The following is a 15748-nucleotide window of genomic DNA, read 5'->3' as shown; positions in this document are numbered from 1 at the left end:
ATCACTTTCTATGTGCAGCTTTACTCTCTATTCTTCCAACTGACTGTTCCCTGGTCCAGGTGGCCCACCCTGGACCACCTGGATTTGAATAGTGAGATAGGTAAAAATGTGTTCTTGTTCCCAATATGATGAGGAAGTCTATGCTATAGCCCTGTTTTCTTCAATAAAAACTTCATTTGCTGCTAGTTTGAGAGGCCGAGGCAGGTGGACCAGTTGAGGCCAGGAGTTCGAGACCAGCCTGGGCAACATGGCGAAACCCCTGTCTCTACTAAAAATACAAAAATTAGCCAGGCATGGTGGCACATGTCTGTTATTCCAGCTACTTGGGAGGCTGAGGCATGAGAATCACTTGAGCCTAGGAGGCAGAGGTTATAGTGAACCAAGATTGCGCCATTGCACTCCAGCCTGGGCAACAGAGCAAGACTCTGTATTAAAAAAAAAAAAAGGAAAAAAAAAAACTTCATTTGCTGAGTTAGAACCAAAGACCCACAAAGACCCACAGGAATTCCTATGTGTCACACTAAAAATGATGATGATAATGACAGAGGAAAATATGAAGAAAATATGAAATGGAAGTCATCTGTTGTGAAATGGAGATGAAACATATACATATGTTGCCACTCCCTGCTAAAATTCCAGAATAATGATAGGAAAAGAATAGTAATAATATAGACTCACAGTGACTGAGATAAAAGAAGAGGAGACAAAGAAGACAAGTGTCAACACATCTTTAGAAGATGGAAGACTGACTTAGAACAGGGAAAGCTTAAACCTAAGAGTCTGCAGAGAAGGATGCCATAGACAAAGAAGGAAGCCATTCACACTGAAGAACCCATGCAAGTTTCCAGAATTGGAGGCACCAGGTGATTTGGAAGGCAGGGTGAGGATAGAGGCTGAAATCTGGAGTATTGGTTGAAAGCCTATCAGATTAACTCTTAGATTCAAGATCCTTCCTCCTGCCTGCACAGCCAGGGGACTTCCATGTTTCAACACAAACAGGAAAAAGCTTATTCTCTGGCTCTGCACTCAGAATAAACACAATGTCAGGTGGGAGGTGGAGCCATACAGAAACCTAGGGACTAAGTGAAAAATCAGTGTGTGCACTGAGAGAACTCCAGTCTCTTCACTGATTTCACAGAATGCTAGCAACCAGGTTTATATTTGCTTCTCAAGGTAAGAGGTATGAATTTCTCCTCTAGAGAAAAGAAAATCTCCCTGTAATATCTGTCAATGACATTTGGGGTGCCCCATCAAGACTGTCAGGTTACTGCTCCTTGGAAGCCCTCCAATGCTCCATGGAACTATTCTTTGGAAGCCCTCCAAGCCCTGTCCATAAAGTTCTAATTGGCTTTCTAGTGACTCACTGCAAAGTATTAATGGACAGCCAAATACATCAGACATTAGAGAAAAGCTTTCAACAGGAAAAACAAAGATCAAAACAAACTAACTGGGGAAAAAAGGAACAAGAAGGAAACAGAAACTGCAGGGTGCAGAGGAAATTTTCAAAATATTTGATTAATATCCTCAAGGAGACAAGAACATATGTCACACTAATAAAGAACAGGACAATATTAAAAAGAAGCCTTCGGGAAATAAAAAATTAACAGTATATAAGCATATTCTCACTCATATGGAAGCGAAAAAGTTGATCTCATAGAAGTAAGAAGTAGAACAGAGGATACTTGAGGCTGGGAAGGGTGAGGAGAAGAAAGGAATAGGGAGCTATTTGTTAAAGGACGTAAAACTATAGCTAATAGGAAGAATAAGTTCTAGTGCTCTATACCACTGTAGGATATTATATATTTCAAATAGCTAGAAAGAAGACACTGTTCCCAATACAAAGAAATAATAACTGTTTGAGGTGATGGATATGCAAATTATCCTTATCTGATCACTATACATTATATGTAGTGAAGCATCACTATGTACCCCATGAATATGTATAATTGTTATTTGTCAATTTAAAAATAAAATTAAAAAAGAAAATGAAGTATAAAGGTATAATTTTTTTTAATCAATAAAACAGGCCAGGCACAGTGGCTCATCCCTGTAATCCTAGCACTTTAGGGGGCTGAGGCAGGCAGATCACTTTGAGCTCAGGAGTTTGATACCAGCCTGGGTATCATGGCGAAACCCTATCTCCAGGAAAAAAAAAAAAATCAATAGGAGAGATGTAAGGTAAAAGTGAGAAAGTTTCCCAGAATGATAGACACACTGTTGAAGAGAAGAGCAAAAATGATTAGCAAATCGGAGAATCAACCCCAGAATTCTGATATTTAACTAATATAAATTCTAGAAAGAAAAGACAAAAAATAGAAGGGCAAAAATCATTAAGGAACTAACACATAAAATGCTCCCCAGAACTGAAATATATAAATTTCCAAATTCAAAGGGCCTAATGAGTTCCTAAACTAAATGTAAAAGTATCCAAACTAAGGCAGAGATGGTAATATTTCAGAAGACTAGGGCCAAATGTAAAAACATAAAAGCATCCATAAAGAAGAAAAAAATACTATGTTCATAAAAACATTGGGGAAAAACTCACATCAGAGTTCTTACTAGCAACACTGGAAATTATAAGAAAATAGACCAATGTTTTAAAAAAAATTCTGAGAAAAAAATACTCCAATCTAGAATTCTATATCTATTCAAACTATGTATCAAGTAAAGGGTAAAATACAGATATTTTTCTAATATGCAATACCTTAAAAATTCTGTCTCCTGTGTGTGGTTTCTCAAGAAACTTATGGAGTATGTGCTTCATCAAAATGAGGGAGAAAACTAAGAAAGAAAAATATATGGGACTTAGGAAGCAAGAAATCAAACAGAAGAAAAAAGACAAAGGGGATTACCAGGGCGTGGTGACCCCAGGTATGGACCCCAGGAGAAAAGCTGCCCAGCAGCCGGAGATACACCAGTCCAAAGGAAGCAAGAACTCCGAGGCTCTGGGAGTGCCACTTCCAAGGGGCGAAATGGACACGAGGGATTTCCTTACGGGGTTGTTGATGTAGCTCTGTTGTTGTTATTGTTGTTACCATATTAAGAGGAAATTTTAAATTTTGTTGGAAAATTCAGGAAGAATAAGTGATGGGTGCACAAAAAAGTACGTAAAAAGCTTTAAAAGGAAGGCAATTTTTAAATCAAAACCAAAGCAAAATATCGTTCAAGAAAATAAATGTCAGTGTGGTTCAACACATGAAATGACTACTTGGTTCAGCTGTGAAGAATATTTACATTGTCATGAATGTTAAATAAAAATTTAAACAAGAATTATGATAAAATTATTTTAGGAAGAGAAAGGAGGAAGAGAAGTGTGTGCGTGCGCGCGTATGTGCGTGCGCGCGTACGTGTGTGTGAAGTGATAGTTGTTGCAATATTAAATCCCTAGAGTAATATTTAATATATTTTAAAATATCCATTTAAGCACATTGTTTAGAAATATTGGAATAAGTAGCAGAAGAAACTGCTCAGTTTCTTTATAAACCTCAAAGTCTTACTTAAAACTCTGTGAATGTGTTTATGTTTGCAAAAAATAATTTAAAGGAGTCATCTAGTATTTCTGGGCGATCCATAAAACCTCTATTAAATACTAAAAGCTGCAGCCCTAATCCCAGTTACAGGTCAGACTACCAGACTTAGGGATATCCTGCAAAAAAATGTAGGCTGCCCACTACTTTCAAGAACCACAATAATATAACTGGTGTGTGGGAAAAGCCTTAGACCCAGAGTTCATCTGGAGACAACTTACTTAACCTCTCTGAGCCTCACTTGTCTCGTTTCTAAACTTAAAGAGTTCGTTCGGAACTAACTAAACTCAAATGAAAGGCAAATACCAAAAGTGAGACAGATCAAGCACAAACGCCAGCATCCCTTACAGAGGACAGTCTCAACTCAGATGCAGCCAACTGCTGTCATGAAGACCTGTTGTTGCTAAGAGGTCAGATGGTTCAAGAGAAACTGGAAATTTGGATTTTGACATGAAACCTCTGGAATTTAAAATACTAGTTTAAAATGCACAGTGCCTACCAAACCAAACCTATCTGCAGGCCACCCCTAACTCACAGATTGCCAGTAAAGACCTCTAAATCAGATGAACATTAATACCCTCTAGGTCTATTACTCTGTGGCAGTGCAGTGCTGCATGACTAAAAATCTTCACTGAATGAATGTGTTTCTTTACCACTAAACAGGCAGCGTGTTTTTACTCAACCTTGACATATGACTTTTTTTTTTCATTATGAATACTCATGAATCTTAAGACCTGAGATCTGCACAGAGTCTTTACTCGAAGAAGTACTGTCATAAACAGAGATAGGTTCTGCCGAACATGGCCGGACCGAAAAATCAGGGAGCAATTTTCACAGGTACACAATCGAGTAAGAACTGCCATCAATCTGTCTTTTCAGACATATTAATCCACAAAGATAGAAATCACTTTTATATGCCAAGGACAATATCAAGCTCAGTATTTGCTAAGACTATCTTTCAGTTTTTCATGAGGAAACTTTTCCCTGCCACTGATAATTATCTTCTTGGTTCACAGATCTGGAAAGCATGAAGACTGGGCTTTTTTTCCTATGTCTCTTGGGAACTGCAGCTGCAATCCCGGTAAATTTCCTTTCTTCTGTTATTACATCTCTTTCTCCTGACATTTAATGCAGAAATCCTCCATTTAAAAGAAAATGTTCTTATATAATGGTTTGAAATTCTCTTTTTATTTTAATTATATTCTTTATTGCCCAAGTAACAAACAAATAACTGGAAAACTCAAGATAAGGTACTTAAAAAAAAATTTTAGAACTATCAGGTTCTACAGGACACAATAAATATGCAGCAGAAAGTTTGGGCTATCAGTTTATTAGCCATAGAATCAGCCCAAATACACAAGAGACAGGAAGAAATAAATTCTCCCAGGGAAGCTCATCACATTGTTATTATAAACCCAAGATTTTAGGCCAGGTGCGGTGGCTCACGCCTGTAATCCCAGCACTTCGGGAGGCTGAGATGGGCGGATCACCTGAGGTCAGGAGCTCAAGACCAGCCTGGCCAACATGGCAAAACCCCGTCTCTACTAAAAAATACAAAAATTAGCCGGGCATGGTGGCGGGCACCTGTAATCCCAGCTACTCGGGAGGCTGAGGCAAGGAGAATCAATTGAACCCAGGAGGCAGAGATTGCAGTGAGCTGAGATCACTCCACTGCACTCCAGCCTGGGCAACAGAGTGAGACTCCGTCTGAAAAAAAAAAAATACTTAGGGTGCATATCCACGGTCTCCAGCAGCATTTTCTTCAAGATCAAATAGATGCTGGCTGAGAAATTTTGAGAGTCTATAATGAAAACAGAAACCAATGGTTTAGGCAGGAAACGATATGGTAATCATAAATCAGCTCCTAATTCACCCTTGGGAGGCTGTCCAAGCAAGTATGCTGAAAGTAGGCAGGGCTAGAATATTCTCTTCTTCATGGTCAGATATATTGGCCCCATTTGCACAGCAATAAAGCAGCTGTACACAAATCAGATCATTTGAAACCGTGTCAGTGGCCTCAAAACAAACTGAAAGTTAAAAAACAAATGAAACCATAGCATGAATGACCACTGGAGATGTTCTGCAAATGATTCATGTAATCCTTCATTAAACCAAAGGATTCGTGCCATATTTTTTTTCTTTTTCACCAAATGGAGGAATCAGCCTCCTTTAAAGAGACAAAACAATTTCTCAATCGTCCCTTTCCTCCCTTCTTCTCTAGGTCTAAAATTCTGTCCTTGCTTTTTGGATAAGTTGTTAGCTAGCTTCTGGTTGACAAATGTGTCAGCAAAAACAAACTCCATGGCACCCAGACCAAGCTGTTCTTGGAAGACAGAGTTTATACCCACCATCAGGAATCATGCTTAAGTAGTATGGAGCTACTCTAGCTGAAATTATACATTACACCCTGAAATCACAAAAGCGGGACAAGTTAATGTTCAACACTGAAAGGAGTTCCCACAAAACCGTTGTTTTCTCCTGAAAATGTGCTTTGTCCTTGTGGCTGTTGCTGTTATGTAAATAAACATTAAAAAGTGTCTTTGGGCCACGCACAGTGGCTCCTACCTATAATCCCAGCACTTTGGGAGGTCAAGGCCAGAGGATCGCTTGAGCCCAAGAGTTCAAGACCGGCCTGGGTAACATAGTGAGGCCACGTCTCTACAAAAAAATAAATAAAAAATTAGCCAGCTGCCATGGCATGTGCCTGTAGTCCCAGCTACTTGGGAGGCACAGGAGGGAGGATCCCTTAAGCCAGGGTAGTTGAGGCTGCAGTGAGCCAAGATCGCACACAGCACTCCAGCCTGGGTGACAGAGCAAGACTGCCTCAAAAAACAAAAAAAGTGTTTGAACCAAATGTTTGAATGACACACTTGCATTTAGACACATTCCAGATGTTTCCTTTCTGGGACAATTTGATATCATGTAAACCTAGCCAAACTGCTAGAAAGCTAAGTATCTTCTCATAGAAATGACCTATTAAAAATTTGTATAATTTTCCCTGCCTGCCTGAATTCTCCAGATGAAAATGGATTCTGTGTAGTTGGGAGATTCCAAATAGATTTCCAGAGTTAAATAAATAGAAATATGCCCATAGTGATAAAACATAATTTCAATTGCAGAATATTTCTGAAAGTAAAAGAGCTGCCATTTTTTGTGTGCATTTCTTCCTGCTTGGGCAGTAGGCGGATGGAGGGGGAGAGAGAGTGACCAGTTCTCCACTAATAAGCCTAAAATCTCCCCCATCCATTGCCTTCTATGATGCCCCCTGCTGGCAGCTTACCAAAGTGGCCACCATTCTTTCTCCTTTTCCCCCTTCTTTAAGGCTTCTTTATAAACTTTTTCAAATTCATTACCCATCTTAGGTGAAAAGGAGATAAGAAGCAAAGGAGCAAACCAAACCTAATATGAATCCTGTACTTTGGCCAGAAGCCGTGGCTCACATCTGTAATCCCAGCACTTTGGGAGGCCAAGGTGGGCAGATCACTTGAGGCCAGGAGTTTGAGACCAGCCTGGCCAACATGGTGAAATCCTGTCTCTACTAGAAAAATAAATAAATACAAAAATTAGCAGGGCATGGTGGCAGGCACCTGCAATCCCAGCTACTCAGGAGGCTGAGGCATGAGAATTGCTTGAACCCAGCAGGTGGAGGTTACAGTGAGCCAAGATCACCACTGTATTTCAGCCTGGGCAACAGAGTGAGACTCTGTCTCAAAAAAAAGTTTAAAAATAAAAAATAAATCCTGTACTCCATGACTATTACACAGTCAGCACTACAGGACCTGCTAATGGAATAAAAATAAGTTAATCCAAATAGAATCTCAGTTTCATACTTACACCTGGATAGGCCATCTGAGTGTCCAGAGTATCTCTCTAATAAAGATCCATGGTGAATATCTGCCTCAGATACTGGGCAGTTTATATTATTGACACAGTGTGACATTAGTACTAGAAATAGTAATTTTCAGTTGGGCAACTCCTTAAAATTTATAACATATTTTTTATACATAATCTTATTTTGATATTTCTGCTCACTTGATATTTCTTGCCACCTTGAGAGATGGCAGGGTAGAAATTAATGACCTTGGCCGGTCATGGTGGCTCACACCTGTAATCCCAGCACTTTGGGAGGCCAAGACAGGAAGATTGCTTGAGTTCAGAAGTTCGAGGCCAGACTGGGCAACATGGTGAAACTCCATCTCTACAAAAAATACAAAAATTACCCAGGCATGGTGGTGCCTATAGTCCCAGTTACTGGGGAGGCTGAAGTGGAAGGGTGGCTTGAGCCTGGGAGGCAGAGGTTGCAGTGAGCCGAGACTTCATCACTGAACTCCACCCTGGGCAAGAGGCTGGAGTTAATTAATTAAAAATTAATATAATGAATTAATTTTATTAATGTTTTTTAATTAATAAAAAATATTAACGACCTGTCAAACCACAGATAGAAAGTAAATAGCAGAGGCAAGACTTGAATGGAGGCCTCTTACCTCCAAGTTCAGTTGTTCAACTTCCCCATCATGCATCACTGCCCAGCTCTTTATCCAAGTCTCCAATCTTGCTAGAAATAGGACCATCCCTCTAATAGAAATTAATACTCCAGACATGCCCTTTTCTACTTAGGCTTAGTGCCCTGTCTCACACAGTCTGAATTAATTCTAATTTTTTTTGTTTTTGAGATGGAGTTTCACTCTTGTTGACCAGGCTGGAGTGCAATGGCACAATCTCAGCTCACTGCAACCTCCGCCTCCAGGGTTCAAGTGATTCTCCTGCCTCAGCCTCCCGAGTAGCTGCGATTACAGGCACCCACCACCACACCCAGCTAATTTTTTGTATTTTTAGTAGAGACGGGGTTTCACCATGTTGTCCAGGCTAGTCTTGAACTCCTGCCCTTGACCTCAGGTGATCCACCCACCTCGGCATCCCAAAGACCTGGGATTACAGGCGTGAGCCACCATGCCCAGCCCCATTAAGATTTCCTGACCAACGTTAAGGCCAATGGCGTTAAGAAATCAAATAAATATTGATAAAAAGTTTATAAATTTTTCTGCTAATTATCGGTGGGTACTTAAATTAGGCAAATGTACAATACTATATCCTATGGTTAATTTTATTTGACTTCAACTTTCTGCTAAACAACACTTTCCAAAATTGTAAAGTACAAATGCTTTGCAAAAGTTTAAAAAACACAGAAAATAATTTCAAAACTCAAAGTTACCATTATTTAAATGCATTTTGTTTTATTTTCACCCAGTCTCTGCATAAATAACTTTTTCTTAAACACAATTGAGATTCTGCTTCCACTTAACATTCTGTTCTAGGCATCTGCTTATATCCTCAAAAACTCTAGAGAATATTTTTAAATTGTTGGTATAAATGAAGTATATTGCTACTAATAATGATGACAACAAGAGTAACTAGCAAATTTGTAAATTAGCATCCAGACATGAATAACAAAAACCAGTTTTTAATTTTTTCAGACAAATGCAAGATTATTATCTGATCATTCCAAACCAACTGCTGAAACGGTAGCACCTGACAACACTGCAATCCCCAGTTTAAGGGCTGAAGCTGAAGAAAATGAAAAAGAAACAGCAGTATCCACAGAAGACGATTCCCACCATAAGGTAAAAGTAACATCATTTATATTAATACAATTTTTTAATTCTCCAAAGGTCTTAGTTTCAAAGCATGGTAAAAGAGATTATGTTATTTATGTCTCAGTTTAATTTTTTTAAAACATGATGATCACCTCAACTGCCTCCAATCACTAGAAGAATGATGAGGATTAATGAGTTTTACTACTTGGGCTGAGCTGCTGTATACTTGTTTCATTTTATAAAATCCAAATTCAGTTTAAACCTGTGGCTACAGAGTGTGAGGAATATTATAAACATGTTTACATGATAGTGTGTGAAGAAAAAGAATAATGAATATTAAATGTTACCTTAGGCATAAATATGGTTACATTATCATTTGTTTGAAGAATGAACTTTTTTTTCTTTTAAGGCTGAAAAATCATCAGTACTAAAGTCAAAAGAGGAAAGCCATGAACAGTCAGCAGAACAGGGCAAGAGTTCTAGCCAAGAGCTGGGATTGAAGGATCAAGAGGACAGTGATGGTCACTTAAGTGTGAATTTGGAGTATGCACCAACTGAAGGTACATTGGACATAAAAGAAGATATGAGTGAGCCTCAGGAGAAAAAACTCTCAGAGAACACTGATTTTTTGGCTCCTGGTGTTAGTTCCTTCACAGATTCTAACCAACAAGAAAGTATCACAAAGAGAGAGGAAAACCAAGAACAACCTAGAAATTATTCACATCATCAGTTGAACAGGAGCAGTAAACATAGCCAAGGCCTAAGGGATCAAGGAAACCAAGAGCAGGATCCAAATATTTCCAATGGAGAAGAGGAAGAAGAAAAAGAGCCAGGTGAAGTTGGTACCCACAATGATAACCAAGAAAGAAAGACAGAATTGCCCAGGGAGCATGCTAACAGCAAGCAGGAGGAAGACAATACCCAATCTGATGATATTTTGGAAGAGTCTGATCAACCAACTCAAGTAAGCAAGATGCAGGAGGATGAATTTGATCAGGGTAACCAAGAACAAGAAGATAACTCCAATGCAGAAATGGAAGAGGAAAATGCATCGAACGTCAATAAGCACATTCAAGAAACTGAATGGCAGAGTCAAGAGGGTAAAACTGGCCTAGAAGCTATCAGCAACCACAAAGAGACAGAAGAAAAGACTGTTTCTGAGGCTCTGCTCATGGAACCTACTGATGATGGTAATACCACGCCCAGAAATCATGGAGTTGATGATGATGGCGATGATGATGGCGATGATGGCGGCACTGATGGCCCCAGGCACAGTGCAAGTGATGACTACTTCATCCCAAGCCAGGCCTTTCTGGAGGCCGAGAGAGCTCAATCCATTGCCTATCACCTCAAAATTGAGGAGCAAAGAGAAAAAGTACATGAAAATGAAAATATAGGTACCACTGAGCCTGGAGAGCACCAAGAGGTAAAATTATTTTAAATGGTCCTTGTCCAATAAAGCCAGCATTATCAATAAACAGTCATGACCTTTCTCTGTGCTCTCACAGTGTCCTGTATGGATGTCTACTAGTACATTACTAAAATATATTACAGTTATTTCTTTTTAGGTCTATCTCTATCATTAGGCTGAGAATGCCTGTTTTATTTGAGTTCCCGTAGATGCAGATCTTGGATTTGAGTGTTGTTTATTTAAGAAGCACAGGGAACAAAGAGGAGTGCAGAAGTAACACAAGAAGGAAAGGAAGCTAATAAAAGGAACATCATTCAAGCCATGTAAAGACATTTTCTCAGAAGTATTCCATTTGGCGACTGAAGGAGCTAGGGTACTTCTTTTGGCTGAGGATTGCTAGAGGGGTATTAATTTCCCAGCATTTCCAGCCTGTCCCTTGAGTGAGCCAGGTCAATTTCCATGATTTTTCAGGCACGGAAATGCAGATATTGGCCATTGAAAGTCCCTGGAACTAGCTGGAATGATAAATTATGACAGATCTGAAGGATAGGAGATACTGGCAACTGCTGCTCTAATGCCTTGAAAGCAGATGCCATATTGTTTTCGAGTTGAATCACCAGTGTCCAACAAAATGTCTCTGACATAACAAAAGAGCCAACAATGTTTGTTGAATTAGTTATAAAGATTAAGGTCCTACTTTATTAAGCAAACACATACCAAAATGATAATCTGGAAACTACAGCAGGATCGGGGCAGGGAGGAAGCATATTTGGAGCTTTCATTCAAAATCCTGGCAGCCACAAAGTCCTGTGCCAGCAGGACTTGGCACAGATTTTGGTACACAAGGTCAATGGTAACCTCAGTTACTGAGAACTCTGCTGCCACTCTAACGTAGGAGTTTTCTTATACCTTAAAAGCCTGGTATGAAAGCTTTACCAACAAATTCAGAGAGATTTCCAATGTAACTCTGGCTTAACTACAAAATCACAAGATAATACTACATTTCTAGTGTTTTCTCAAATCCAAAGAGGAGACTCCAAGTCTTATTGAGTAATCCCCAGAGATAACGCACTAAATCTCACTGATAAAGATAGAAATGGGTCCTGTTCTCCAAGGGTTACTGTCTACCTCCACAGTTGTGACTGATTTCCCTTTCTTTTTTCTTTTTTTTTTTTTTTTGAGACGGAGTCTCACTCCTTCACCCAGGTTGGAGTGCAGTGGCGCAATCTCGGCTCACTGCAACCTCTGCCTCCCAGGTTCAAGCAATTCTCCTGTCTCAGCCACTCAAGTAGGTGGGACTATAGGCGCCTGCCACCATGCCCAGCTAATTTTTGTATTTTTAGTAGAGACAGGGTTTCACCTTGTTGGTCAGGCTGGTCTCGAATTCCTGACCTCAGGTGATCCACCCACCTCAGCCTCCCAAAGTGCTGGGATTACAGGCTCCATTTCTTCTTTTTTTTCTGTTTTGTTTTGTTTTTAGAGATGGAGTCTTGCTCTGTCTCCTAGGCTGGAGTGTAGTGATGCAATCACAGCTTACTGCAACCTCAACCTCCTGGGCTCTAGCAGTCCTCCCACCTTAGCTTCCTGAGTAACCGGGACCACAGGCATGCACCATCATGCCCAGCTAATTTTTTTTTTTTTGGGGGGGGGGGTGGGTAGAGATGGAGTTTCCCTATGTTGCCCAGGTTGGTCTTAAACTCCTGGGCTCAAGTGATCCTCCCACCTTGGCCTCCCAAAGTGCTGGGATTACACATGTGAGCCACCACACCCAGCCTGGTTTCCCTTTCTGAGATTTGAAATGATTTGAGCATGAAAAATACTCGTGAAAGTATGCACAGTGGAAATATAAATTAAGTAATGGCTCTCCTCTTAGTAGATTTTAACTTTTGCTCTTGTTATTCTAAAGGCCAAGAAAGCAGAGAACTCATCAAATGAGGAGGAAACGTCAAGTGAAGGCAACATGAGGGTGCATGCTGTGGGTGAGTATGCATGAAGCAAGCTGTTTGTGACTATATCAAGGAAGAAATGGAATCTGCCACTTTGGGCTTGTCCCTCCATCCTTTGTGAATGCTGCACAGAATTTTTTCTCTCCCCAGTCCTCCCCAAGGAAATGCTCCCATAAATTGTTGACATTTTCTTGTGCATACTTGATATACAACAATGGGTAAATGTGTTTGCAAACTGGAAGCCCTGTTGAGATATTAGTGAAAGGGCTAGAGTTCTTCCTTAAATCCTTTTGCTTCTGAAAAGACTTAATTCTATCTTATTTATTCTCAAATCTGTAACTTGCTGATGAATTTATATCCCATACTTGATAAAGGACCTTATTCCTCCCCCTATCACAAACATTTTGAATTTCAGCCTTATTTCACTTCTGACCAGCTTGCACAACGTTGCACTAAGGACTTCAGACTATGACCATCTCAGGCATAGAAGAGCTGTCTGTTCTTTGCACATCTCCAATCCAAACTGCTGCAAGAGGAAATCTAGATTATCATGTAAAATAATCAGTAAAATTATCATGTAAAATAGAAGGTTCCATCTGACATTAACACATCAATTAAAGAGGATTCCAATGTCTTCCCACTTCCAAATTTGCAAATTTCAAGGACTTCAAAATTTCCCCTTCATTAGTGAAAATGAAACTAGTTGAGTGAATTTGTATTTACATACTCAATTTAACTTTGTCCATGCTTCCTGCCCAATCTTTTCTGTTAGATTCTTGCATGAGCTTCCAGTGTAAAAGAGGCCACATCTGTAAGGCAGACCAACAGGGAAAACCTCACTGTGTCTGCCAGGATCCAGTGACTTGTCCTCCAACAAAACCCCTTGATCAAGTAAGTATTCTGCAAAATAGTCTTTAAGTGGCTCCAAAAGGTTAGTGACTGAAATAAAAATATTTGCCATTGAAATTTTTGCTTAAAAAAGGTAGATACCTAGGTTATCATTTGGTTATTTGGGATATTTGGAACATCTGCAGTTTTCATTCTACTGAGCTTATCTAGAGCTAAATTGTCATCACCGTTGGTACAGTTTAGTTGATTTTTTTGATGCCAAATGGAACAATTACGATTTTAATAGTCTCACCTACCTGACCACATCTTTGGCACAGCGCTGTTATCAGCATATGAGCTTTAAGGAGCAGAGTGTCTTCCAGTGAGCATTTGGCTCTATCAGCTTTTTCTTCTACTTATCTTCCATAGGTTTGTGGCACTGACAATCAGACCTATGCTAGTTCCTGTCATCTATTCGCTACTAAATGCAGACTGGAGGGGACCAAAAAGGGGCATCAACTCCAGCTGGATTATTTTGGAGCCTGCAAATGTAAGATTATGTCCCTCCTGTCAACCATCATCTCTGAGAGGGCTTGGGGTGAATCTGGACATGCCTGAATTATCTATATGCAAACAGGGAAAAGCTGATGTAGTTCTGAACACAAAAATTATCAACTGGAGAAACTTAAAAAATAAGAACTCTCAGGCCTTAACCGTAGGAGATTCTGATTTAACTGAACTAGGTTGGAATCCTGACATTGTTTTTTTTATTTGTTTTTGAAGTAACCTAGACAATTCTAATGTGCAGCCAGGGCTCAGAACCACTATGATAATGCTATCCACTTAATCACAGAGTTGAATCACTGGAATTTTGCTACATTATTTGCCCTCTTCCCAATTTAAGTTAAGCCTTTGCCAAGAAGTCTCTGACAACACATTTTTCCAGAAGTGTTTTAAGGCTGTCTTCCTTCCCCAGGATATTCTCAATTGTGTTTGGCTCCCCTTACCACTAAGTGATTCTCCACATTAGCAGTGCTCACTAATGTTTCCGGGTCTCCTCCCCTTCCAGACACAGGAGAGGATGAAACATGTCAGCCTCCTGGACGTTAGGTATGACCATATATCTTGCTTTGTCCAGGGAAATGTGAAAAAAGTCATCTATGTGAGTTCTGGGCAGAAGCATTCAAGAGCTGGGGTATGGTTCTCCATCCTCTGCTCCTTTGCCACCACAAACTCTCTTTGAGATAGTGGCCTCAAAAAATGGCAACGTCATTGGTGGCTGGCAAGATGGCCAAATAAGGACCACTCTGGTTTGCAGCTCCCAGTGAGATCAACGCAGAAAGAGGGTGATTTCTGCATTTCCAGCTGAGGTACCCAGCTCATTGGGACTGGTTAGACAGTGGGTGCAGCTCACAGAGGGGGAGCCAAAGTAGGGTGGGGTGTTGCCTCACCCAGTAACTGCAAGGGATCGGGAAACTCTCTCCCCTAGCGAAGGGAAGCTGTGAGGGACTGTGCTGCGAAAGACAGTGCATTCTGGCCCAGATACTACGCTTTTCCCACAGTCTTCGCAATCCACAGACCAGGAGATTCCTTCGGGTGCCTACACCACCAGGACCCTGGGTTTCAAGCACAAAACTGGGCCACCATTTGGGCAGACACCGAGCTAGCTACAGGAGTTTTTTTCCATATCCCAGTGGCACCTGGAATGCCAGCAAGACAGAACTGTTCACTTCCCTGGAAATGTGGCTGAAGCCAGTGAGCCAAATGGTCTAGCTCAGTGGATCCCACCCCCACAGAGCCCAGCAAGCTAAGATCCACTGGCTTGAAATTCTTGCTGCCAGCACAGCAGTCTGAAGTTGACCTGGGATGCTTGAGTTTGGTGGGGGGGAGGGGCATCCACCATTACTGAGGCTTGAGTTGGCGGTTTTCCCTTCACAGTGTAAACAAAGCTGCTAGGAAGTTCGGACTGGGTGGAGCCCACGGCAGCACCAGAAAGCCACTGTAGCTAGACTGCCTCTCTAGATTCTTCCTCTCTGGGAAAGGCATCTCTGAAAGTAAGGCAGCAGCCCCAGTCAGGGGTTTATAGATAAAGCTCCCATCTCCTTGGGACAGAGCACCTGGGGGAAGGGGCGGCTGTGGGCAGAGCAGACTTAAATGTTCCTGCCTGCCAGCTCTGAAGAGAGCAGCAGATCTCCCAGCACAGCACTCAAGCTCTGCTAAGGAACAGACTGCCTCCTCAAGTGGGTCCCTGACCCCCATGCCTCCTGACTGGGAGAAACCTCCCAGCAGGGGTCGACAGACATCTCATACAGGAGAGCTCTGGCTGGCATCTAGCAGGTACCCCTCTGGGACGAAGCTTCCAGAGGAAGGAACAGGCAGCAATGTTTGCTGTTCTGAAGCCTCTGCTGGTGACACCCAGGCAAACAAGGTCTAGAATGGACC

General features: G+C 40.9%; 1 protein-coding gene across 4 annotated transcripts in view; it reads left to right on the top strand.

Moving 5' to 3' along the window:
• The window catches only part of SPARCL1 (SPARC like 1), a 56042-nt gene that overhangs the window by 25248 nt on the left and 15046 nt on the right, over positions 1 to 15748 (top strand). For 2 of the 4 annotated variants that reach the window (NM_004684.6, NM_001128310.3), the window contains 6 exons: positions 4544 to 4608; positions 9002 to 9148; positions 9531 to 10547; positions 12439 to 12511; positions 13251 to 13369; positions 13736 to 13856. In NM_004684.6, the coding sequence (NP_004675.3) occupies positions 4555 to 4608; positions 9002 to 9148; positions 9531 to 10547; positions 12439 to 12511; positions 13251 to 13369; positions 13736 to 13856 (1531 nt within the window). In that variant the 5' untranslated portion in view covers positions 4544 to 4554. Of the gene's footprint in view, positions 1 to 4543; positions 4609 to 6889; positions 6999 to 9001; positions 9149 to 9530; positions 10548 to 12438; positions 12512 to 13250; positions 13370 to 13735; positions 13857 to 15748 lie in introns of all 4 variants that reach the window. The other 2 variants (NM_001291976.2, NM_001291977.2) reach the window with 2 other exon arrangements.

This window comes from Homo sapiens, chromosome 4 (assembly GCF_000001405.40).
Source record: "Homo sapiens chromosome 4, GRCh38.p14 Primary Assembly".
In the NCBI taxonomy this organism is placed as follows: Eukaryota; Metazoa; Chordata; class Mammalia; order Primates; family Hominidae; genus Homo; species Homo sapiens.
The sequence above is the reverse complement of the archived record's forward strand: the minus strand, read 5'-3'. Positions and strand labels throughout refer to the sequence as shown.